General features: G+C 32.1%; 1 protein-coding gene across 6 annotated transcripts in view; it reads left to right on the top strand.

Annotated features, from left to right (window-relative positions):
- Positions 1–25247, top strand: part of PTPRK (protein tyrosine phosphatase receptor type K) — a 551815-nt gene that overhangs the window by 511962 nt on the left and 14606 nt on the right. For 2 of the 6 annotated variants that reach the window (NM_001291984.2, NM_002844.4), the window contains exons 15-22: positions 3394–3554; positions 9734–9918; positions 11650–11737; positions 13100–13176; positions 15929–15965; positions 17247–17344; positions 17753–17869; positions 22763–22917. In NM_001291984.2, coding sequence (NP_001278913.1) covers positions 3394–3554; positions 9734–9918; positions 11650–11737; positions 13100–13176; positions 15929–15965; positions 17247–17344; positions 17753–17869; positions 22763–22917 — 918 coding nt within the window. Of the gene's footprint in view, positions 1–550; positions 593–2582; positions 2613–3393; positions 3555–5405; positions 5442–7430; positions 7443–8307; positions 8657–9733; positions 9919–11649; positions 11738–13099; positions 13177–13371; positions 13390–15928; positions 15966–17246; positions 17345–17752; positions 17870–22762; positions 22918–25247 lie in introns of those variants that run through there. The other 4 variants (NM_001291981.2, NM_001135648.3, NM_001291983.2 and 1 more) reach the window with 4 other exon arrangements.

Here is a 25247-nt window from a genome sequence, read left to right as displayed (position 1 = left end):
GAGTAAATTGTTTTAATTGAACATTAACTTTTTATACTATATCAACTAATATCACCATCTTCTGACGTTACTTGAAGATACTGAGACCTACTGGAATTTAAACTGAGCTTTGCTCTGGAGACCAAAGTATATTCCTGATGAAAAGCATTTCAAAGTACACAGTTTTTATAATATGAGCTATTGTACATTATATAAAATGCCATAAATCTGTAAGGCATTGTCTTGGAAACTAATATAGCACTCTAATCCTTCCCATCATGTATTTGGGTTAATGCTACAATTTGGAAGGACTTTTAAAAAAAATATTTATAAGCAAAAGTACAGTCCTAAAATAGTTTGGTGTATAGAAGTGGTTGTGATCAGTGAATTCTATTGAAAAATATAATAAGTGATGTTGCTTATATTACATTAAATTATCTAGTTTACTATTATAGTTATTTTATACTTGAAATAAAGCATTAACATTATAGATAAGACTCATACTACATGTTTTAATGATTCCATCAGAGTTTATTTTAATATATTGCCTCTTTACGATTATCCCCTGGAGATATATATGTTGGAGAAGACACATCTGCATTAGAAACATTAGGTATGCATTATAGTGTTTTGTGTTAAATTAGCTACATACGTGCTTTCCCCAAATAGTGCTTTCTCTTGCTGTTGTCTCCCTCTGTGGTTGGAAAATACATCATATGTGAGGCAAAAGTTTTAAGTATTTTAGCAATAAAAATTTGCCAGTAAAGATCAATAAAAATCACCAAATGTAACCTTCAGACCTTATGTCTCTGTTTAGTTTAAATTTGTATTTGGAGACTTAAGTAAACAATTTAGAGAGTAAAGTTAACTAAACATTGCTTCACAATGTTCTGGTCACTTCAGATTGGATGTAAACATGAAAGTGGCTTCTGATTATATCCTCATTCAGCTAGAATTGGGCTAAACTATTCAGTTTTATTTGTTATTTATTTGAAAACATTCATTTGTCTTGATAACTCTCCCTATCCAGGCCTCTGATTTAGCAATAATGAAAAAATTGAAAAATTAACCTCCTAAAGTATGCTAAAACCATCACTAAGCAAGATTTTGGGGGAAGGTAAAATGCTCTGACAGCTCTCTAAAATTGTGTAATATGACAACTTGATTTTCTGGTTCATATATTAAATGGTTAAGTTAATGAGCCTCTCTATTAAAATATTTAACATTTGAGCTTTCATAATTATGCTTTGATTGTCTTTTGATAGAAAGTATGCTAGGGCTTTTGCTTCTGTTCCTCACCATCACCTTTATACCCAGGAAAAGCTGCACTTTTAAAGATAGACCAGGTTTCATTATTTAGATATGTTACCTTCTAATATATAGTATTTATATCTACATTACTTGAATTTCTTACTTACCAAAGCAATTTTGTAATGACTTTTACTCATATGTAGCGTGTCACACATGTACCATGTATGCTTTAATCACAAGTATGTTTATCATACATATAAAAAAGTATAGATATAGCAGCATTGCATTGGATATTATCATCAAGTATAGCTTAAAACTATTAATATAAAATGTTTCCCTTTTAATATATAAATTTATAATAAAAATAATGGAAAAGGAAATTACTTTAGCCTCTTATCTACATTTTAGTGGGAAATTGTTAAGTTTGATTTTATCCCTCACTGGGATGAATACATGTAGATATATTTCTTATGCGGAAAACAGTTCCATGTCTTTTTGGTTGTTTTGCAAAAGAATGGTGTATAATTCAATTGAGTAAAGTTTTACAGCTAAGGATATGTATAAAGTAAGTTTTTAGGCTAAGAAAAGGGATATTGCATCTTTCAAAACGCAATGTCATTTTTTAATTTAATCGCTATTCAATTATTTCCAAATGTATGCCATTTTTTCATTGGTTGTGTATTATATTTTACATGCACAGCATGAACACATTAATAACTCAAACATAAATTTGAAATTATGTTTCAATACAGTAAATGTTTGTGTATGATATCATGTTCACATGCATCTACTGTAGAAGTATCTGTGTATATATAGTATATGGTATATATGTATATTCACATAACATATGTATATACCTATGTACCATTAAGATATAATAACTTGTTTGTAGAAATTTAGGTGTTATTCTGTATATATGATATATTAACATAATAGATCTTTATGTTTTGTATCTAAAGAAAAATAATCTATATAGTACACAAGTTCTATGCACAGCTGTTCCATCTGTCATATTTAGATAATGGATGATATTATGCTTAACTGCATGTTGAAAATACACAATCCATTTAATTTTTCAATATTTTGGCAATAAGAAATACCAGCATGTTATTTTTTCCAAATTATGTATTTTAAATTTTATTTTTATATTGCATATCTGTCTGTTTAATTGCATGGCAAAAAAAACTAACAATGCATGAGCAAATTGAAATGCAAAGCAAAAAAAACATGAATTTTATTTTATTTTATTTTATTTTTTAACGCACATTTTTCTGCTTTATTGAATGTGACAGAGTCACGCTTTTCATTCACCATTGCTTCTCTTTTTCCACTGTCTGTGATTTGCTTGCCAGGAGGAGCTACTATTCTTACTCCTACTACCTGTAAGTAGAAAATGGGTGATGTACAACTTTACGTGTGTTAAGGATGCAGTATCCCTTTTCAAAAACAAAACAGAATGCTTGCAATTTTGGTGACATTTCAAAAAAAAAGTTTTTTCAGACTCTAAAACTATAAACTTTATCTATCACCTATTTTGCCAATCTTTTTAAAAAGGGATATTGTATTTCTGTATGTCCAGCTACTTTTAATTTAGTTATAATTTCCATAAGTAGCTTTAGTCTAGAGCCAAAAACATAATTTATTTACTAAAGTTAAACCTGTACCTTATCTTAGCAATATGGCACTTCACTCATCTGGTAAATGTCTGTTTTAATTTGGTGGCTACAGTAAAACAGACTTGAAAAGTTAGTCATGTTATTTCTAAAAGGAACTAAAAGTTGATCAAAAGAATTAATTACCCAGGAGTATCAAAACTTGGCTTTAGCTTGAATATTTATTGAATTACTCTAGTAAGGAGGTATTTATTTTGCTTTTAATAAATATAATTATATTTTATGATATTTAAGAGAACAGGAAATGATGAGAGATTTGGATTGACAGCTTGAATATTGAAATATGCATCTGACAAAATACTTTTATAGCAAGGAGCAAATATAATTGTTTGAATGTCAAACTTAATTCCTGAAATTGTGACCAGTGCTTGGGGTTTCTAAACCATGTTTGTAACATTATCCTCGGGCTCACCTGGACTATTTATTGCTGGTGTTAACTCTCCTGCAAGCCTCAAACACTAAGGATGCCCTTTTGTATTTGCCTTGGCAGCAAACTTGCTAAAAAACGCAAAGATGCCATGGGGAATACCCGGCAGGAGATGACTCACATGGTGAATGCAATGGATCGAAGTTATGCTGATCAGAGCACTCTGCATGCAGAAGATCCTCTTTCCATCACCTTCATGGACCAACATAACTTTAGTCCAAGATGTAAGTTTTTCATTAAAATTTTAATAAATGATGTTACAACTCATTTCACTTTGAATTCTACACGATACCTTTTGAGTAATGAGAGAGAGTAGGAAAGTGAGGGGAGAAGCAGCTAGAAAGAAGAGAAAGAGATGGAGAATATTATGGAATTTACAAGAAGGATTCTCATCAAGATTGATACTGGATTTAGTTTAACTTCAAACTCTATGAATTTTATTACTGTATCACAAGGGATATTCCAAACATATACCACTCAGTCCATAGCACGTGTCATTGCTTTAAGTGGAAATACACGATTGCCTACAAAAAGTTAGTTCATGTCAGAATTTATAATTCTTTTTCCATTTGCATCTTCCTTTGTGTAAGATGAAAGTCTCTTTTGCGATAAGAGGAAACAGTAATTCTTTTTGGGAATTATTGACATAGGTAAAATCATTGCATTAAAGTAGTATATTGTAGACTCCTGGAAAATTGCAATACTAAAAAGTTAACTCAGGGAAACATTAGTCTACATGCTCTTAAGTATCTGGTGTGAAGTCCAAAAGTATACTTGAATTGGGGGTTTTGCAAGGCATAGTGAAATTCATCCATCCATCTGTCTTGAAAATTCCTAATGTTGGTCTATGAAGGCAAGGCTTTTAAAATATTTCCGCTGAAGTACCATTTAAAAGCAGATGATTTTAATAATTACCCCAGAATCAATATTACTGTTTATTTTCAAATTTCATATGAATGTTATATTCTGTTCTATAGTGCATCTGTTTAAGTTAATTAAATTTAAGTGAAATTGCCTAACTTTGTTTCTTCAAATCCTCAAGTAAAACTGATGCTTGAGGCAGGCAAATCAGGTATATCTCTTGAGTATACTGGCCTTGTATAACTTGGGCCTTATGGCATTTGGCTCAGATCGCAGAGATATGCTCACCCCGGTTTGGAAAACATGGGTATAAGCAAAGAAACAATATAAGTATTATCTCCTGTACAAACTATGAACATATGTAATAGTAAGATTGAAAACAAAGTATTTGTAGGTTGTATGCTTGTATGTAAAGAGGGAAGTTTTTTTCTGAATTGTTCAGCTTGGAGAAATTTTTCAGTAACTATTGGATCTAAAATGAAGCCCATCATTTTCTATGTATATATGTATACCAAATTAGTAGTTAAGGATGCTATACATGAGTCATTTTGGAATTTAGTTATAATCATGACAGGGCCTTTCAGATCTATTTTATTTTTATTTCACTATAGATAAATGATAGAGAAAAATGTAAAATACTATTACTGTTGAAAGTAAGTTTTGCGGAAAATAAAGATGTATCATCTCTTTAACTACTTAATTTAATATTTAATCAATTAAGGTTTTGAAAGCATTCATGCCTCCCAAACTTGTCTATCTATTGCCTACCTTAGGGCCTTATTTGAAAGTTTGAATTCAGCAGTGTAACTATAAATATCCACTTATGAACTTAGAGAAAGGATTAAATCTATTTCCCACAGATAACTGAAAAAAATTATTTGGAATGAATATGAGATAATTATTTCTTTAAATACCTTACACTTGATAGATCTAAAATACATGGGTTTTTTTTTCTTTAATTTTTTAATGTCAAGTTTAATCTTCTGGCTTTTTAAATTAAACAGAGTTCTGAACCATAATTATAGATACACCTCTCTTGATGTTTAGATATAACCCAAGCTGAGAGAGAAAATTTTACATTTGCAGAATACAGTAATCTGAGAAAGTTTAATAATTATATTTCTTAAGAAAGCATAAATCTATTTTAAAGAAAAAAGATTTTAAAAAACAATTTTAGAGCAATATATTCCTTCATGAGCTTTGTTTTCCTGCAGTGCCCAATGATCCACTTGTACCGACTGCTGTGTTAGGTGAGGCCCTAAATCTTTATCATCTTTTCATTGCATGGATCACACCTCCTTGCATGGGTTTGCCCACATAGAGATTATTTACAGTGCAGGAGGCAGCTTGATTTTGAAAATAGACAGCCATGGTATTATCAAAGAGAGCAACTGTGTTCAACCCAATATCAGATCTAGTGGATTTCAAATTAGCAAGGCATGCTATTTAATGTATTCTTCAATTCTTGGTTGTTAGATTTGGAGCAAAAGTACATGGCCCTTAATGTCTGACTAATATTAATGTGTCAAAATTAGTAGAATGAAGCCAAATGCATACATCTCAGGGTGCAATGTTGCCTGAATAACTAGTTTATATGTAAAAGTCTACCTAATGGAAAGGGATGTTTCTAAATCCTCCCAATTTATAACCACGAAAGAACAAATTTACAAGTAAATATTAGGATTATGTGCATTTGCTCTAGCTTTTGTCTTTATTAAGAATGTTTTAATGTAGGTAAAGTTGCTAAAATCTTGATGTGGGGTTTGACATTCTACATGAACCTTACCTGATAAGTAATGTTATCTTTCAAGAAATTTAGAACAAGCTACTTGGGTTACCACTGTATAACATCTAAGACAATGCTATTACTAATGACAATTAACGCTTTTACAGATGTAAAATTATATTAATTTTTAAACCTACCTATATATTTAAGAATGGAATGGGTTTCATTTTTCATTTCACTTTGTACCCTGTTCCTTGACTAATTATACACCAATGATTAGTAATCAGCTTGCCTGTATGTTTACAGGTTCCATATCAATTTTACCAGCGTTTCTAGTTAAGCTTTAACCAAAGAAATATGGAAACTATCAAATAAATATATCTTGTAAATTCCCAAATGTCATGTTTGTTATTTATATTTAACATTTCTTGTGAACAAAAAACTTTAACTTATATTTTATGCTTGTATTTTTGTTATACATACAATCAATGTTCAATTGCATTTTTAAAATATTTTGGAACAACACAACTAACTCAGTTATGTAAAATATACCTCTTATTTACTAAAATAAATATTTAAAATTATAATTTTATAATTACTATAAAGGATATATATTCTAAAATAATCTGAAAAGTCAATGTTCTTCATCTCTACTTGCACTCTCCCTTTGATGTCCACCAATAATGGTTAGGAAGTGAACTGGGGATTTGCCCCAGGGAGTGGTCTTATCACACAGGGAGGAGCCATAAATCATGATCACTGGGGATCATTAAGGATACATCAGATGCCTCTGAAAATGTCATCTTCTGCTAAGCACTGTAGAATGCTGTCAGTATAAAGTTAATAAATAAATTTCAATTAAAATATTGAGAACTAATTGGAAAAAAATTAGTTGCCTAAATGTTAAAAGTTTCCTTACAATAATTTTCTACACATATGTAAAGTCCAAGTCTCGGTCCTCCTGTGGATTTACAATATGAACTCATAAAAATACCTTACATCTTTGTTTTCCCATCTATAAAACAGTATAATAATTCCTACCATACCTTTTTCATGGGGTTTTATTATAAAGAGAAAATTAGATGATGTGTATGAGTTTTATAAACTGTAATAATTATCATAGTAATTTTCCCTGTGAAAAAGGATATTCATGTTTAAGGAAAGCTAGATTTAACACAATAGAGTCATAAAGTCTAGTTATATAAACATTCATTACACATTTTATTTAATTTTGAAAGTCAAGCTGGTTTTAAAAATATATTGGCATTCTTTAAAAGCTAAATATCTCATTAATCATATTAGATGTAGAAATGATTTGTTGTATTTTTCATCATTCTTAGGATTGTGGTCTTTAGAGTTTTGCATCCAATCATTTTTGTATTTATAATGCAGTTTCTGAAATCACTTCAAATATTGCTTAATGCTAATACTTACTGATTTAAAAGGGCTTAGAAACTTTTCATACTGATTCGTATTTTTGGTTTTTGTGTTTTACTGCTTCATTGGGTTTAAGTTCCTATAACAGGTAAGTGTATTGCAAAGAACTCTAGAAAACCTTTCAATCAAGGATATATTTCAAGTTATTATTCTTAAATGTATAATAAGGATAATGATTAGTACGTGTACCCTCACTACTAGTCACATTATTAGGTGGTTTAATGAGGTGGAAATGTATTGAGATTAATAATGCATATGTGATTATTTTAAAGACCTTACTGCTCATTGTACTACTGTATTAAAGCTTAATGCAAAACAAAAGGCACTGTCTATTTTATATTGGGACACAATCATCTGTAAGATTTGGAATATGGGTGAATTCTGTGTTTCTCACTGAGCCTTTTTCAATTGTAAATATTCTGCTACTCCAGCAGGTAAAAGTGAGCTCTGGGGCTGCTCCACTGAGCCCTGGCTACCTTCTTCCAGCTTGAGTGATTGCATTTTGCCTCTCTGACGTTATCTGTTCTCTTTACTTCTCATCCTTAACTGTATATTCTGTGGCAGTGCCCAAATCAATTGCTTCTGAATTTAATTTTTCTGGGGAGATGTATTTATTCTTTATGTCGGTCTGTTGATTGTAATATTTTAATAGAAGTAGATCCATTGACTTTGGTCGCATAGTGAGAACAGGAAACTCTCATGAATCATGTTTGTTAGCCAATGTTTTTGTGTAGAGGGGTGGGCAAAATCTGAGTAAAAGACATGAATTCACTTGAGTGGTTAGGTCACAACAGAATCTATCAGGGATTTTTTGATTCAGTGTATTTTTAGGAATGAATGCTACAAAAAGAGCATTCAGCTTAATAAGAGGGAGTAAAGATAAATGCAATCAAGCTAAATTACAGAGGCACACAAATCTGATTGTAGGGTTCTTTTTTTTTTCCCTTCTCCAGGAAGAAAAAATGTTTATCATGGGGACAACAATTCATTTTTTGCTATATCCTATTTGTAGAGTTGGTGATAGAACAGGCAAATGTACTAGCACTTGAAATATGTTTATCTGTTAATTAAATATCATTCTCTACAGTATGCATTATCATTAAAAAAAAAGTTCCCCTAAGAGTGTATTTTCTCTTCTGTTAATGAGTATGACGGTATAATGCTTTTCAAAGTAACACCCCTTAAAACATTTGTTTTTTTTTTTAAGTGGTAAGTTTAAATGTGATAAATATGAGCATGCTTCTCGTTGTAATGTTTAGTACTTCGGTCATTAAAGTACTGTTTATTCTTCATAGGCAAAAATGTTCTTGTTCTTTTCTTCCTTCTTATGACAGAAAAAGAATTTAAAGTTTCTTTTCTTTTTAAGCTAATAACACAATTGGGAAGGGACTTACGCTTAATTGTGAGTGGTCAGGGATTCAGTTGACTTTTTAATTCATTCATTGGAATATTTATTGAGTTACTGTTATGCATCAGGCACTAGGAATAGAAAGAAAAATATTCTGTCTCTGTACTGGGTGTTCAGAATTTAGTGAGGAAAATAGCCAAGTAGATAAATCATTAAAATATAGAGCAAGTGAAATGACATGTAAAAATGAATAAGAGGTCATGGGAACATAAAGAAGGAGCTTTGTAACTCAACCTGGAGGGGCCAGAAAAGACTTCCAGGGGAGGAACCCACATTTTGCTCCAGAAGCGCGCCCTGATTTCTCTCGCAGCGTGGCCAAGAGACTCAAAATACATTTGCAATAAAAACAATAACAGTAATAAGTCAAGGCGGCAGAGGTTGAATATAAATGCACGTGTAGTCTGGCTAGCAGACAGAGTGGCATCAGGGGGTGATCATGTGGAATGCCCATGTTTCCCAGTGCAGAGTGTGTTGTGGTAAAAAGCCCCAGAGAATAGGGCCACGAGAACAAGAAGAGCAGCCCTTTGGGGATGGGTCACCTAGATCGGGTATCTCTGAGGGAGGTTGGGATATGGTTGGGAAGGAGTTTGGTCGACTTAATAGACCATGAAAACACCTCCACTTGACAGCTGGGTCCTCTGGTCCCACTCTATACTGCTATGACTACAGATGCAAGAAAAACAACTCAGCAAAATTTCCCGCTTAAGCTTTTAAAAGGTCTATCAGATGTCTCCCTGCATCTCACAGTGTCTGTTGTCTTGCTGATATACACATAATATACTCTCACCTGAAACCTTGAGTTTTGTCTTTGGGGATACTGTCTAGGCCTATACTGTATGATATTTCTTTCCCAGAATTCCTCTTGTTATCAGAAAGATCTTAAGGTCTTAAAATCTTCATTGCATAGATACATATATTAAACAAGATAACTTTGTCTCTTTTTTAATCTTCTGAAATCTGAAAAATGCCAGATGAGAACCACAGTGCTACAGCAGAGTCCAGTCGCCTTCTAGACGTACCTCGCTACCTCTGTGAGGGGACGGAATCCCCTTACCAGACAGGACAGCTGCATCCAGCCATCAGGGTAGCTGATTTACTGCAGCACATTAATCTCATGAAGACATCAGACAGCTATGGGTTCAAAGAGGAATATGAGGTGAATAAGTTTTGATACTGTATTGAATTTGATTTTTAACTATGATACTCAGTGGAATTTAGCATTTTTTTCCCTCTCTTTAACACAACAAGGAGGGGATTGTTCTATAGGCTCTCTAATCTAGTGTTTATGAGTGTACAACCAAGTGTGTGTACCTGGGAATGGGAAGGGAATGGGGAAAAAAGCACTTCCCAGAGATATATGAGTCTAAATTTATTACAAGAATCTTTAATGTTGGATTCCGTAATTTATTTTACTATGGTATTAAAAAAAAACACTTTGCGTATCTCCCCATGCAAAAATCAAGTAGCAATACACTTTGGGTCCCATTGTTCCATTGCAGATTCTATCATTTGAATGAATCAAGTAGCAGGTACTTCTCTGCCCCTTTTTTTGTTGACCTTATGGTTGAGAAATCAGATGAAGCTTTGTGCTCTAAATATACTACTTGCCACTCTCAGTTTAATTTTATGGATTATTGGTTGAGGGTGGCTGAGAAAAAAAATAGAGCACTGCAAATCTAGTAAACAACACTGAGAAGCCAAAAGAAGGCAGTGGGAAATTCTTCTTCCAACCTTATTTCCCCTTCCTACTCAAACCAAAATACCAGGACTTATCTCACAAAGGCAATGATTTAAAACCAAACATTCCAACAAACATAATATAGCAAAAGGAAAATAGTTCCTTTGCCACCCTTCACTTACTGAGAAATACCAATCTGGGGCATGGAAGGAAGCCAGTCCACTACCCATGAACACATCACAGTATGCACACATTTAAAGTGAAAGAATCCAAGTAATATTTTGCTTTGAAAAGGCCATCCAAAATACATCCAATTTCATGAAGAATCTTTTAAACTCCATATTTTATCTATGGATTACCTGTATACCTTAAATTAGGAGTGTTAATTATCTCTGAATTTTGAAAGTTGATTTTAGATATATGCCAGAAACACTGCCGTGGTAACAAAATAAGTACAAGGAATTAGACTATTCTGCCAGAGCTGGTTCTTTTTGTTCATTTCATGTGTACTCCTGTGTACCTTGCTTCAAAGACCACTGGGCTCTTTGAAGACCCCGTTTCCTGTGTTGAGCAAAGTTTAAGTTCTTTTGCAAAATGAAATTTACACCCGTTTTAAATTGCTGCATATAGTAATTAAACTAGTCAACAAATTCTTCTGTTCCCAGATTCTTGAAGAAGGGGACTCTATTTTAATTTTTATATGGTCCCTTGTTGTGAAGACTCACTCTTTTTCATGATCTTCAAAGAAACTCAGATGCGATGTATTGCACACAATTTAATGAATAATTATGGAGGGAAGCAGGTTTTCTTTCTACTGTTATAAATGCTAAATGATGCACACTTGAAAGATACTCATTAAAAGCTTTTTTGCAGTTTTGATGCATTATCATTCAATACGTTTTGAAAAGAATGATACTTTGCTACTTCTACTTCTCATTATAGTGATCTTAATTTTAAAATACTTTCAAGGTCCATTTTTTTTCTCTAAAGTTATTTTTTTGTCTTTAATTTGACCTGAATCCAATTTAAGATGAACAAGTATGAATCCAACAAAGCGGCTTTGAGGTCTGAGAATGAAACTTGTTTACTACTGTAGGACTGCTTTCCTCTCTGAGAAAGTGGTTTTTACTATTTGGGGCTTCAGAACAGATAAACCTGATTTTTAAAAAGGAATTAAATTCAGTCTGCTTATTCGTTTTGTTTTCCCAGAGCTTTTTTGAAGGACAGTCAGCATCTTGGGATGTAGCTAAAAAAGATCAAAATAGAGCAAAAAACCGATATGGAAACATTATAGCATGTAAGTTCCCATTCAATTCTTGGTGAATGTAAATATTATATGCTTATATGGTTTTAAACTTTAAGAAAAATCCCAGAGAGTGGTGTGTCTGTTTATGAAGTAATCTATTTAATATTAAAACAGCATTTACAATCAGGCTTGAGGGCTCATGCCTGTAATCCCAGCACTTTGGGAGGCCAAGGCAGGTGGATCACCTGAGGTCAGGAGGTTGAGACCAGCCTGGCCAACATGGCAAAACTCTATTTCTACTAAAAATACAAAAATCAGCTGGCTTGGTGGCACGCACCTGTAATCCTGGTTAATCAGGATGCTAAGGAAAGAGAATTGCTTGAACCCAGGAGGTTGAGGTTGCAGCGAGCAGAGACTGCATTACTGCACTCCAGCCTGGGCGACAAAGCGAGACTCTGTCTCAAAAAACAACAACAACAAACAAAAACAACATTGGCTATTAGCAGTGATTCTGAAATTGTCATCATCCTCATTAATTAAATTGACTCAGCCACTTCACCCTGTGGAGATAACTTGCTGTTTGATTTCATGTTTGTACATAAATGCATGGGGTATTACTGAACAGCTGAGACTATCAGGATAATGAAAAAGTAAGATCTTTTCAGTTATAAATTGTTTTAACACTTCCATCAAACATATTCAAGATTGGGGTGTTATTCTTTCCACGTGCCTTTAATTCTTACTTGGAGCCACTGTCTAAACTCCAGTTGTTCGATATTATTTATCGTTAGGGACTTCCTCCTGAGTAAGTCCTCAAGATATACACGGGATAATAAAGTCATTATCAGACAAAACCACAGGATCAGTAAAGAAAGTAGCAGATAGTTTAACTTGTAACTAGCTGCTGATTTACCTAGACCACTCTGCTCTGAATTTAAATTATTTTAAAGTATCTTATGAATAGCTCAAAATCTAACCTTGATTCTCAGGGAGTAAGAAACTGAGAGCGGGAATTCAAAATTCACTTTTTAATTCTGTGGCTCATTTGCTGTAAAGTGCAGAAGAAAAGGATCCAACCCGTTTAAAGTCATGACTAAAAAGCAAAATTAGAAGTTAAGTCTAGTTCAGTTATGTAGACAATTCTATGACTCAAATGATTACTTACCAGACAATTTCATGTCTCCTAAACACTAACTATGAAGGTTCAAGTCAGTGAAGCTTAAGTCACACAATATTATAAGTGTAATAGCAAGGTTCACTAACATTCTTATATTTCTTCAAAGGACTGATTTGGTAGTAGTATACTATGGATAGACTATGGGCAACCACTGAATTCTTTAGTCTCTACCAATGACATTGTCTCAGAACAGGGGGAAAATTTAACAGCTTATATTTATTATTTTAAAATTTTAGATGATCACTCCAGAGTGATTTTGCAACCCGTAGAGGATGATCCTTCCTCAGATTATATTAATGCCAACTATATTGATGTAAGTATTTTTATAGTTAAGTATGTCTACTTTATTGGCTTATATATATGAACCTTTTTGCTTATTACCTATAAAGTGATTGCTAGCTTTTTAAAATATAAAAGTACAAACTGTACACTTTTCCTTGTTCTGCGTCCTAGTACTTACTGACATTGTTGTGCTTTCTTTCACACCTGACTTTGGTTTGGGCTGTAGATTTGGCTGTACAGGGATGTAAGTACCACTATATGTAAATAACAGCACCCTATTATAAATACAAACATTCTTAATTACAGTTATTACTAACGCTCTGTTACTACTAGTTATTTCTGCATGCTTCACCTAATTAGCTTCATACAATATATCTCTGTTCGTTTTTTTGTAATTCTTTCACATGCGTAAAGATCTATTTTACCACCTTCCCTTTTCTTGTGTAGAAAAACAGGACCATTTTTAGCTTTGACAGTTTATTATGTACTCGAGTTTTATTTGTTGATGATTTCTGTTTCTGGCTTTTATTCTTACCCTTCCCTAAACATATGTGAGAAGCTGGATAGTATGATGTGTATTAGTGTTACTGAAATTTTACTTTTTACATTTGACTTCTGACGTTAAAATGAGTAGGGAGACTATTTTGTGATGTGTTGTATTGGCTTTTAAAGTAATAAAATTACTCAGGCAAAATAATTACTAAATTTCAATTGTAAAATACACATATCACACATATATATCGAATCACAGAAATGAAAAAGGTTGCTTTGATCATATATTTCACTGTTAAATTTTGATTACATACATATCTACATGGAAATTCTTTATTTAAAGGAAGTAATTATCAAACAAAATATAGAATATTCTTAAAGGGCAATATATTACATTACCTATAAGGAAGACCTGGTTCATAATCACCCTGGAGATCTTGGGAATGTTACTTCTCTCTCTGTACCTCAGTTTCCTTATCTTTGCAGTGGGGATAATAATAACAGTACTAACCTCATCACTTTGTTGTGAGAATTCAATGAAGTAATGCATGTTGAGCATTTTGCCCAATGCCTAGCATATATTTAGCACTCTTTAAACTTCAACTATTTTTTTTACAATTAAAATCTAGGTGTGCTATAATTAAATTGATTCACAATATGTATAATTATAAGACAAAAGGTGGAGGTATTAAGAATGGTAGCATATGTATACTTCTATAGACCTAAAAGGTATGAAACCTAGGACCCAACATTTTATAATTTCCATAAATAGGAAATAATTTTCATTACATTTATTAGGTTCACATTTTAGAGTTATGAATTGTCATTATGTATTTAGTTGAACTAATATATTTTATAAAGCATAGTATATGAGTATATGAGTTCAATTTCTGATCATAATCTTACTCTTATTCATTATATAAATTTATCAAACATCATTATGTAAAACTAAGCTAATGGTCTAATTTTTAGAATAAAAAAATCAACAGTTCTATGACAAATTTGTAATTGTTCTTACCTATTTAGTTTAACCTGGGTTTTCTGCCAGGACTTGTACACTGGAGCCTTGTTATAAAATTATTTCATGGTTCATATGGTAGGACTGTATTTTAAATAAGACTTGTTATCTAGTCTTTCTGTTAAGACCCCAGTGTATTTTGGTCTATTTCTATACAATTTCATAATTTTCCCTCTCCCATTAGTTCATTATATGTAAACGATATGAGTATATACTTCTGCAATTGGTATTTTTTTTAAGAAGTGGAAATGAAATACTTATAAAGCTTGGAAAAATTTTTCCATAAAACATTGTGCTATTTTCCATAAAACATTGTGGTATATTAAAAATTTGAAATCTTCCAAATTTGCAATAACGTAATACTCATGCTATTAAATTTTAGGTTGGAGATCTCAGTTCACATGTATTTATATGTGTATTGAGTTGCCCACACCAGTATGTGGACAAATTGTACCACAGACTTTTACTAAGGCTCATTGGTAAATATGCAACAAATTCAGAACTTAGGATCATATCATCAACATTTTTACAACTTATGCTTTGTTGTTATTCAAACCAATTGAAAGCAACTAAAAATCTATTCCTCCTCAACAGAACTTTTAGCACACTGAAAAAAAAAATACTAAATTTTTGCTCAAGATAAGATGCATTTTTAAAAATTCTTCTTTCCCTATATATATGTGTGTATCTATAATTATGTGTGTGTAAATTAACATTGTGAGCACGCACAAAATAGTTTTTGCATATCCCTGAATGTGTTGTAGAACAGGAATATTCTCTAAAAATCTCAGCAGGACTTTGATTGGATGCACACATGCATTGTCCAGCTCTAACATTGGAATGTTCTGTTATTTTTTTATGGTTCTAATATGTCCTCGTCCATTTGTAATGCAGTGTGTTGTACTTTTGGATGATAAAATGAGAATTAATATTTTTAAACACTATTTTACCAGGAATGAATGACTAAACATTTACATGAAGGCATAAACATTTTAGTGAAACCAAACAAAATCTATGAGGTTATTCCATGGCAAACAAAAATCAATTATACAATATATATTCTAATCAGAGCCTTTAAAATATTTAATTTTTGTTTTATGTTTACCTTTCAGATAACATAGGTTTGAGAAGTGAACTATGTGTTCACTACTCATTTCTGGACTTTTTATTATAACTTAATCTTAACAGGTGGTTGTCTTCATCTTTTTATGCCTTCATTCATTTATTTCTGATATTGATGTAAAATGATAACTAATTTGTTCTCTTATTTTAGGGCTACCAGAGACCAAGTCATTACATTGCAACCCAAGGTAAAACTTTGCCTTGTTAAATGTTATAGAAAAAACAAACTTGCTTATTCATCTATGTGGTGGTTTTTATTATTTTTTAAATTTTATCTTAGTAACAAAAAAATCAGCCCTTCTGATTAACACTGCTCCTTACTCATTTGTATAGTACAAATTTATTGTGTGTGTAAAGCTTATATAAATTTAAGCTTGATTTACTTTTAATTAAAAGTGAAAGAAAAGCTGGTAGTGGTTATTATGATTTGATCCTTGTTACACAGATAGGTCAGAGCACTAGTCAATAGTGCCAGTCAGAGGAATTACTCATTTTTGAGGAAAGGAAAAAGAAGTCTCATATAAGAGGCCTGTCTTCTTGCAGCAAGTTTGTTAGTAGTACCCAAGACCAATATTGTTATAATGAGCTGTTATACTGAGCAATTTTTTGACGAGTCAAGACTGAGACAAAACAAAGAGATGGAATTTAGTCAAGTTAATTCTTCATGGAATATAATAAGACAGTAGAGAGATCTTGTTATAGTGGTACACTGGGGAGTAAAAGTATCCAAATAACAACAACAAAAAAAGCATCTGTAGTTATCTCTCTAAATTGACTACTGGCCCTCAGAAGAGAAACCTGTACATCTTTTTTATATAAAAGGAAAGTAAAACAAAAGCTAGGTTTACTCTTTTAACAGGGGTCATTTTTCTGTGTTTTCACATATCTTTGGAGTAATTGAGTTCAGTTGTGTACTCTTTAAAGTTAGAAAGATCGACCATAGTGGTGAACAATATTCAGTTTTATGGTATTCGGTAGAGAACAGCCCAGCACATGCTTTTGCAGTTTGGAGATATTATGATAAGATTAGGATATGTCCTTACGTGTAAGGATATGTTTTTATTGATCCCTAAACATGCACTATTTATAAATAGTGGGCACTTATTTAATTGGTAATATATGCTGTCTGGTTGATGGTGGTATAAGAGTTCTATTTTTTACACATATTTGAAGATGCATTAAAGTGACTTAGTGACAAATATAAATACCCAAGAAACTAGTGATAGTTTCTTCTAAATTGGGAAGTGTAGAGGGCAAATTGAAAAAAAAAAAAAAAAAACTTGTATATGCCTGTGTTTTTGCCTATTGTGGGAATTTAGATATGAACTGAATTTAAGTATTTTCAGTGACATTTTGTGTTAGACCTTTTTTGGAATTACTTAGTTTACTCTGCTTCTTATCTTAGCTAAACTTCTTACTAACTACAAAATTCCTTTGATAACATAATATTCAAATTAATTTCTTTGTAGGTCCCGTTCATGAAACAGTGTATGATTTCTGGAGGATGATTTGGCAAGAACAATCTGCTTGCATTGTGATGGTTACAAATTTAGTTGAGGTTGGCCGGGTAAGAGGAAGAAAAAGAATTTTTTTGTCATAAAAATGAACATAGTTGAGAAGCAACATGTAAGACACTCAAAATAGAATATCATCCAATTGTTTAAAAAAAATTATAGGCACAACATTTTAGTTGAGTACTTCTAAGTAGACCTTGACTGGCTGAAAAATTATTTGATTTCTCATTGAGTAATAAAATAAGCTTTAATTTTGTACTGGAATCTAACTGCATTATCAGGCTTGTATATTTTTTGTGAGACTATATAAACTCTGTTTATTGTATAATAGATTTTTTTCTCATTTATAGATTTTTAAACTGAGTTTTAATTGTGACAAGGAGTTATTGCTGGAATTAAATCACCTTGGCTAATTAGTATTATATATTCAGGTCTGTCTATATATTCTTTTTGTCACTTAGGTTAAATGCTATAAATATTGGCCTGATGATACTGAAGTTTATGGTGACTTCAAAGTAACGTGTGTAGAAATGGAACCACTTGCTGAATATGTAGTTAGGACATTCACCCTGGAAAGGGTAAGTACTCTAAAATTCTATTTTAAAAAGTGATATCAAAACTGCTTTTTCTCTTAAAATCTTTGCCAAGTTCTGTTTTGATGATGCTATAAAATCCATTCATTCATGTATTCATTCCACAAATGTTTATTTGAGAGTTTACTATGTGCCAGACATGTTTCTAAACCTTGGGACACATGTTAAAATCGCCTCGTGTGGATCTTAGAGCCGATTGAATTAAGACAGCAATAAAAATAAATAAATCAACTAATATATCATACATCATGACAAGTGATATAGAGAAAAATAATGTTGGGGAAGGAAGTAGGGAATATTATTTAGGCAGGGTAAGAAATGGTTTACAATTCTGAAAGGATGATCAAAGAAAAACTCATTGTTGAGAAAGTAATATGAGTAGAGACCTGAAATAAGTGAGGGAGTGACGGGTTATGTCCAGGGCAATAATGTTTCTGACAGAGGGGAGAGTCATTTCAGAAGCCTAGAGGCATGTGTAAAGCTGTTAGAATGCCAGACAGTCACCAGGCCAAGATGTGCAGATATCCATAAGTGAAGGGGAAAGAAATACAAAATGAAGGCAGAGAAATCACAAAATTGGATAAGTGGTGCCTTGTAGGCCATGATGATTTTAGTTCATACTAAAATTGAGTTAGGCTGCCATTGTAGGGTTTGTGAGCTCAGGGATAACATGGTCTGAATTTTATTTCTAAAAGGATCACTCCAAGTGTTACATTGCAAAGAATAACGTAAGGTGGCTGGTGTAGTAGACTAAAGTGAAATATAGTAACAGTGAAATACATTTTGTGGTAAAGCTTGGTAGATTTGACCACACAAAATTGTGAAATTACCTGTGGCACAAAAAAATATCAAAGGTACATACAGACAGAAGAACCTTGCGATTGTTTATTAATGTCCTTAATTTATAATGTTAATACCAGTAGAAGAAAAAAAAAAAAACTAGAATCTCTGAAGAAACACAATTGTTAACAAGCCTATTAAAAATGTTTAACCTAGTGTACTTATATACCATTTTGTCCTTCCAAATCAGCAAGAACTTTAAAAAAGAATAATCCTCATTGATTGTTAGAGTATGTTGAAACATATTTTTATACATTACTGATCATAGTTAAATCGCTACAAACCTTCTTTAAATCAATAAAACAGTATATCTCCAGAGCTTTAAAATGTTTATGTCCTTTGAGAAGTTAACTTTCATGAATCTCTCCTAAGGAATTTATTTAAAATACAATGACTTCATTTATAGTATTAAAAACTTATAGATAACCATAAATGCCCAACAATAGAGAAATAATTGCATAGTATTTTATAAAAATACTTGTGAGTTATCCTACCAACATGAAAAAATTAGGCAAAATATTAAGTTGAAATAGCATTATACAGAACAACATAATCATGATTATTGTAACTGTAAAATATGTATGAAAATTTCTTAGACAAATCAAGTAGAATAAAATAAGCAATTGATATGGGAGATTTCAGAAAGAACCATTAAGCTTGATTTAATGAATAACTAGCTCATATTATTAAAAAAGAAATGTGGAATATGCAGTCTCTTAAGTTCATACAAGTCTTGTAAAAATCAATGATGAACTTAGTAATAAGGAAAACCTGAATACATAACAAAAAGTTGAGATATTGCCAAAATCCAATAGAAAGCAATGATGACAAACTGCTGACCAGTGACCCCAGAAATTAGCCTATTAGAAGTCACCAAATCCTCTTCTGAATAATCCTTGAATGATTTCCTCAAAACTAAAATTATATTATATAGATCAATAGTTTTACATCAAAATTTACCTCATTATTCTGTAAGAAAAATTTATACTCATAAGTGATTTCTGTTTTGAAATGTGCTCTGAAATCATGTGAAAAATTATAACATTGGAAAATCAGAAAAAGTAGAATAGAACAAAGGAAAAATTAAATATAAAAAAGAAACAAATGAGAAAAAAGAAAAAGCTTGTTTATTGAAAAGATCAATAAAGTAATTAAACCACTATTAATTCTAAATGAGGTACAATGAAAATATACAATATTAGAAAACACAGAGGGACATAGCCATTATACTTGCTATTAGAAAAGCTATGGAAAATATTATGTATAAACTTAAAAATATAACTTTTAGTCTAGGACACGGATTTTCTGACAAATGCTGATTCTCAAAAATTAGGTCACAAAGATTTAGAAGCATGAATAGATGGTAGAAGAAAATAGGATGATTGTTATTATCATTAAAATTGCACTATGGTTTTAAAGTTAAAGTTCCTTTATACTTTAAGGAATAGCTAATATCTATGTTTTAAAAGTTAGCATAATGTACTTGGAAGGCTGAGGCAAGAGAATCATCCGAGTTGGGAAAGCAGAGGTTGCAGTGAGCCAAGATGGCGCCACTGCACTCCAGCCTGGGCGACAGAGGGAGACACTGTCTCAAAAAAAAAAAAAAAAAAAAAGGTTAGCATAATGATGATAACAGAATCAGATAAAGATAGCATTCTCTGGAGCTCTCATTCCCTCTTTCATGATGTCTTTCTTCTCTCTCTTCCTCTCTTCCCCCTCTTCCTCTCTTCCCCATGCACACACATATTGCAGACCAATTTCATTCAAGAACATGAAAAAATTCAAAATAAGATATTGAAAATTTGGATCTAGTAGTGAATTAAGAAAATATCACTACATGACCTATTATTTTTTCCCTAAGAATGCAAGAATATTTCAACTGTAGTGGGAAATCTTAACAGGATATTTCATTATGTCAGTACATTAAAGTACCAAAACTGTATGACTTTAATAGATTAATGCATTTAATTTTATTTTCAAAATATTTATAGTAATACTCTAATTAGGGAAATTAAGAGGCATCCTAAACATGATAAAGGTGATTCAACAATACCTAGTAGCAGCCATGTTAAGGAATGAAGAACTAACGACTATTCATTTATCATAAAAAACTAGTATAAAGATTATATTACTGCTTCTACAATCATGAATGTTATGTGGATAATCAGTGTCACTAATATTAAACATTTTTGGAAGTTTTAGCAAATGAAATAAGGCAGCAAGAGGAATAAACTGTGTAACTACTAGAAAAGACAAATTATTTTAAGATGAAAGGATTTATACCAAGAAAAGTATGGATAATATTTTTAAATGGGATGTATAAACATTTATTTAAATGACCAAATCTGCATAAATATTCATGAGTTATAGCTTGTCTTTATATTAGTGATAAACAGAAGTAAGAAAATATTACTAAATAATCTTTAAAAATACAAAGTGCCAAAATATCTCAGAATATATTTAATAAGAACGATATAGTTCCTGATTTAATAAAAACACAAAAGTGTACTTACGGATACGCATAATATGTGAATGAGTGGAGACATGCACCATGTTCCAGAATATGGGAGTACTTGATATTAATATCACTGTATGGATTTAATACAATCCTATTTGGAAAATCATTGGATTTTTTTTTCTTGTTATTTAGAACAAGAAAATGGGGGGGGTTGTTTTTTTAACCACATATTTGAAAATCATTCAGAAAAATTAAAAAAAAAATCAGGGAATAGGTGCTGACATATGAAAATGTACTAAAAAGAGCAAACCCTATACATGTAATAGAAAGATAAAGGGAGCAAGGCCTATTAAGCAACTCCAATAAAAGAATTAATATAGAAGGAGTAAAGTATTACCTAAAATCAGGCCATGAAACAATTTTTGACCTTCCTCACTAGAGTTGAAAAGTAGCAAAAGGTGATTTTCCATTGGGGTGATTCCATGGTGATGCTTATCATTGTGATTGTTACAGTTATTTATTGATGATCCCTGCTTTGTGTAGGGTATTGTGCTAGGAATTGGAATTAAGAAAACCTTTAAGAAATGATCACTAACTTCCAAGGTTTTGGTGGTATTGGTTTGTATAAGATTGAATCTAAAGATAAACTGTTTTTCTCAGTTTTGTTTATTTCATGTAATGTGTCTACCTTTTCTGATTGAACAAGTGAGATTGATAGTTCACAGATAGTTCACAGTAGAATTTGAATTATATAGATTATAGTGGGATTTTTTTTCCTTTTGCTACAAATGTGAGTTCTTAAAAATAAATTCGGCAATATTTCATCTATACCTTCCAAGCTGTGCTACCTCAGTCTACAGACTTCTTCTAAAAAAAGGAAGGAAAAAGCTTTGAAATGTGCATTTACAGGGTTCTCTTAAATTAACCCAATAGGAGAGCAGCACAACAGCAGATGCTTCACTTCTTTCATTTTGTATTTTTGTTACTATAAATAATACTGCGCTGAATTATTTCACAGAGCTAAGAAAAATAGTTTGCCCAAAGAACAGTTTAGCTGCCTGTATATTTTCACAAGCCAATCTAGAGCAGCACTGTCCTGGAAAATCCCTACATGCTATGCTTCAAAACCATTTTCAACATGGATAAGCAAGGCATTAAAATCTCTTTGTGAGGTGAGAAGCTGGAAAGTTGCTTTTATACACCACTTGAGAACTCAATGCATTGGGTCAATGGGGCAGCATTTTAGCTTTCCCATTTCCTTCTTTTCCCCTAATAATTTAATGTGTTGTCACTCCCAGCAAGAAACAAGCTGTCAAAGTAAATAAAATTTACCCAGACTTTTAGAACTGAGCAAGACTTATAATTTTCTTTCTTTGGCAGTTGTCTGACAATAAAGGTAAGCTCCTAGTCCATGTTAGGCCTTCATTTTATTATATTTTTTTTTTAAGAAAAGGCATAGTCTTTCGTAAAGGTTTTATTGTTATCATTGTCAGTTGGGTCTGTACCCATAATTGTGTTTAATGGCTTTATTTTGGCCATTAAAATGGCTTTTGAAAACATTTCTTTCCATCTTTGCACAGAGGGGGTACAATGAAATCCGTGAAGTTAAACAGTTCCATTTCACGGGCTGGCCTGACCATGGAGTGCCCTACCATGCTACAGGGCTGCTTTCCTTTATCCGGCGAGTCAAGTTATCAAACCCTCCCAGTGCTGGCCCCATCGTTGTACATTGCAGGTAAGTGGTGGTCCAAATGGTATTGACTGTATGCAATCAGCTTTTTTTAGAGTATCAAGACAAGGCTTTTGAGCACAAAAACTAATGTGTGCTTACGAAGTTCCAGCTTGCTTGTATTATAGATAAAGTAAAACAGCAATAAAATAAAAGTTGGCTGTAAGTAGTCTATAAAACAGGAACTTAAGAAATACATACATTCATCCTAATGCGTGTAGTGTTATCCACAATTTAAAGTATAGAAACTCTGCCTTTTAATGGCAACATCTGTGTTTTTTGTTTTTATCACTTTTGCAAATCCCATATTGTATAGAATGCTAGGTTGAAATAGACATTTCTTGCCAATCTAGAAAATTCCCAATAGAATTCCAGCTTTAAAACTAAATTTCAGACATACAGAGTTACTAAATGGCCTAAATTGCAAGGATTTGTGCTGCAAAACAGCTATTTAAAAATTTTTTTTAAAGAATTCACATTAGAGGACCTTGAAAACTGCATCAGTGAGATTCAGCAAATATATGCCAAAAAACACGAGCATTATATCCAGACTTTCTTCTGATTAGAAACTTCTCTTAAAACAAGCATTTAGAGATACTAAAAGCAAATTACATGGCCTCATTTTGAGGTGTGACCAGAAAAATAAGTACTGAATCTGAAAAGCGTTTCCTAAATGATGCTGCACACCATTCTCATACGCTCTTCCCTCCAAGCTACATAATAGGTTGTACCTAAGCATTTTTTGCTTTCTGAAAATCCAACCTATTCAGGATTTAAATAACCATGTATAAAAGAGGGGAAAAAAAGCAGAGAATGAAGTAAAGGTAAAACGTCCCATAGGATCAGATACTATGTACCCTGAAAACAAAAAAAACTTCCTTTCAATCCTCCTCATGAAATCTGATGTACTCTTAAATTACATTCCTGTCTCCAACTCTGGGAACAGTGATTGAGAAGATGGTAGGGGACAAAGATAAATAGAGATAGCCACAATATCTTTTGCTTAAATTTCTAAAAGAACAGTGAGTTTAAGAGAAGTGACCAAATCTGAATAACAAGGAAATAATGTTACTAGCCTATCTAAGCACTTAGAAAATGAGATAAATAGGTTTTCAACTTAAGAATTTCTTGATTTATCAGAGAGGTTTACTTTCTTATGAATTGCTTGCTTCAGAAATGCTCCAAGATTCTCAGATACTCTCTTGAAACAGAAGTGTCATTTTCCACCTACACTGAAGCATCTCTGGACTACAAAGTGAATTCCCCACTCCCCGCAAAAAATCCTTATTTTGTTTTCCCCATTGACTTCTATATATAAAATTGGAGAAACATTCCCCAGCTGCAAAATAATCACAGTATATTACAATTAAAGGACACAAAATATGGTGAGATAGAGGAATACATTTTAGTGTTCTGTACCACTGTAGGATGAGTCTGGTAAATGATAATGTTTAGTTTGAGAGAGCTAGAAGGAAGATACTGAATGTTCACAACATAAATGATACATGTTTGAGAGGACGCATATGCCAATCACCCTTTTCTGATCACTCTACATTATGTGTATTAAAATATCACTATGTACCCAAGAATATATACATTATTATTTGCCAATTAAAGACTAAAATATAATTTTTTAAAAGTATTTTTAAAAATTAACTTTAGAATTAAATACAGTAAGATAGCGGCTAGCCTTTTGATTTGCTGGGAATCATATTCTACACCTAATAATTCATTTTCATTTCTCTTCAGATCATGATTCAAATAGTCTTTACACTGTTACTCTCCTCCCCTTTGATAACCGTCATTCTCTTGCCCACCCCCACCATTTGCATTTCCTGTGAAGCGTGGCTCCTCAGATTTCCCGTTTAAAGTTTTGGGAATTAATTTTCTTTTGCCTTGGTATTTACAAGAGGTGAAGACAGTGAGTGAGCCAACATTCTCACATTGTTGCCAGAGGACACACAACTAGATGAATCTAAAAATATTCAATCTTGAGTTAAATTTTGAAGCGTGAATCTGCCACTTGATCAATTCTATGAACTTGAAATTATGTGTATTAAATTTACATAAAATGAAAATTGTGAGAGAGGTGTGGAACTTAAACAGTGTTATTTTCAATTTGAAAATAATTTAGAACTCTTGTTCCAATCTTTAGTTTATACCAAAGCAGATACTCTGCATGAAGCTATTTGTACATTAATAAGCTTTTACACAGCAGGGACAAGTGCTGTGCCTTGCAGTTTGTTAAATCAATTTGATTCTACCTATCTGACAGTGGAAAAAGTCCTTATTTAAGGTTATGAAGACTAACATGCTTCTTACAATTCATTAAATTT

Source organism: Homo sapiens, chromosome 6 (genome assembly GCF_000001405.40).
Source record: "Homo sapiens chromosome 6, GRCh38.p14 Primary Assembly".
Lineage (NCBI taxonomy): Eukaryota > Metazoa > Chordata > Mammalia > Primates > Hominidae > Homo > Homo sapiens.
This window is presented reverse-complemented; position numbering and strand designations above follow the sequence as displayed.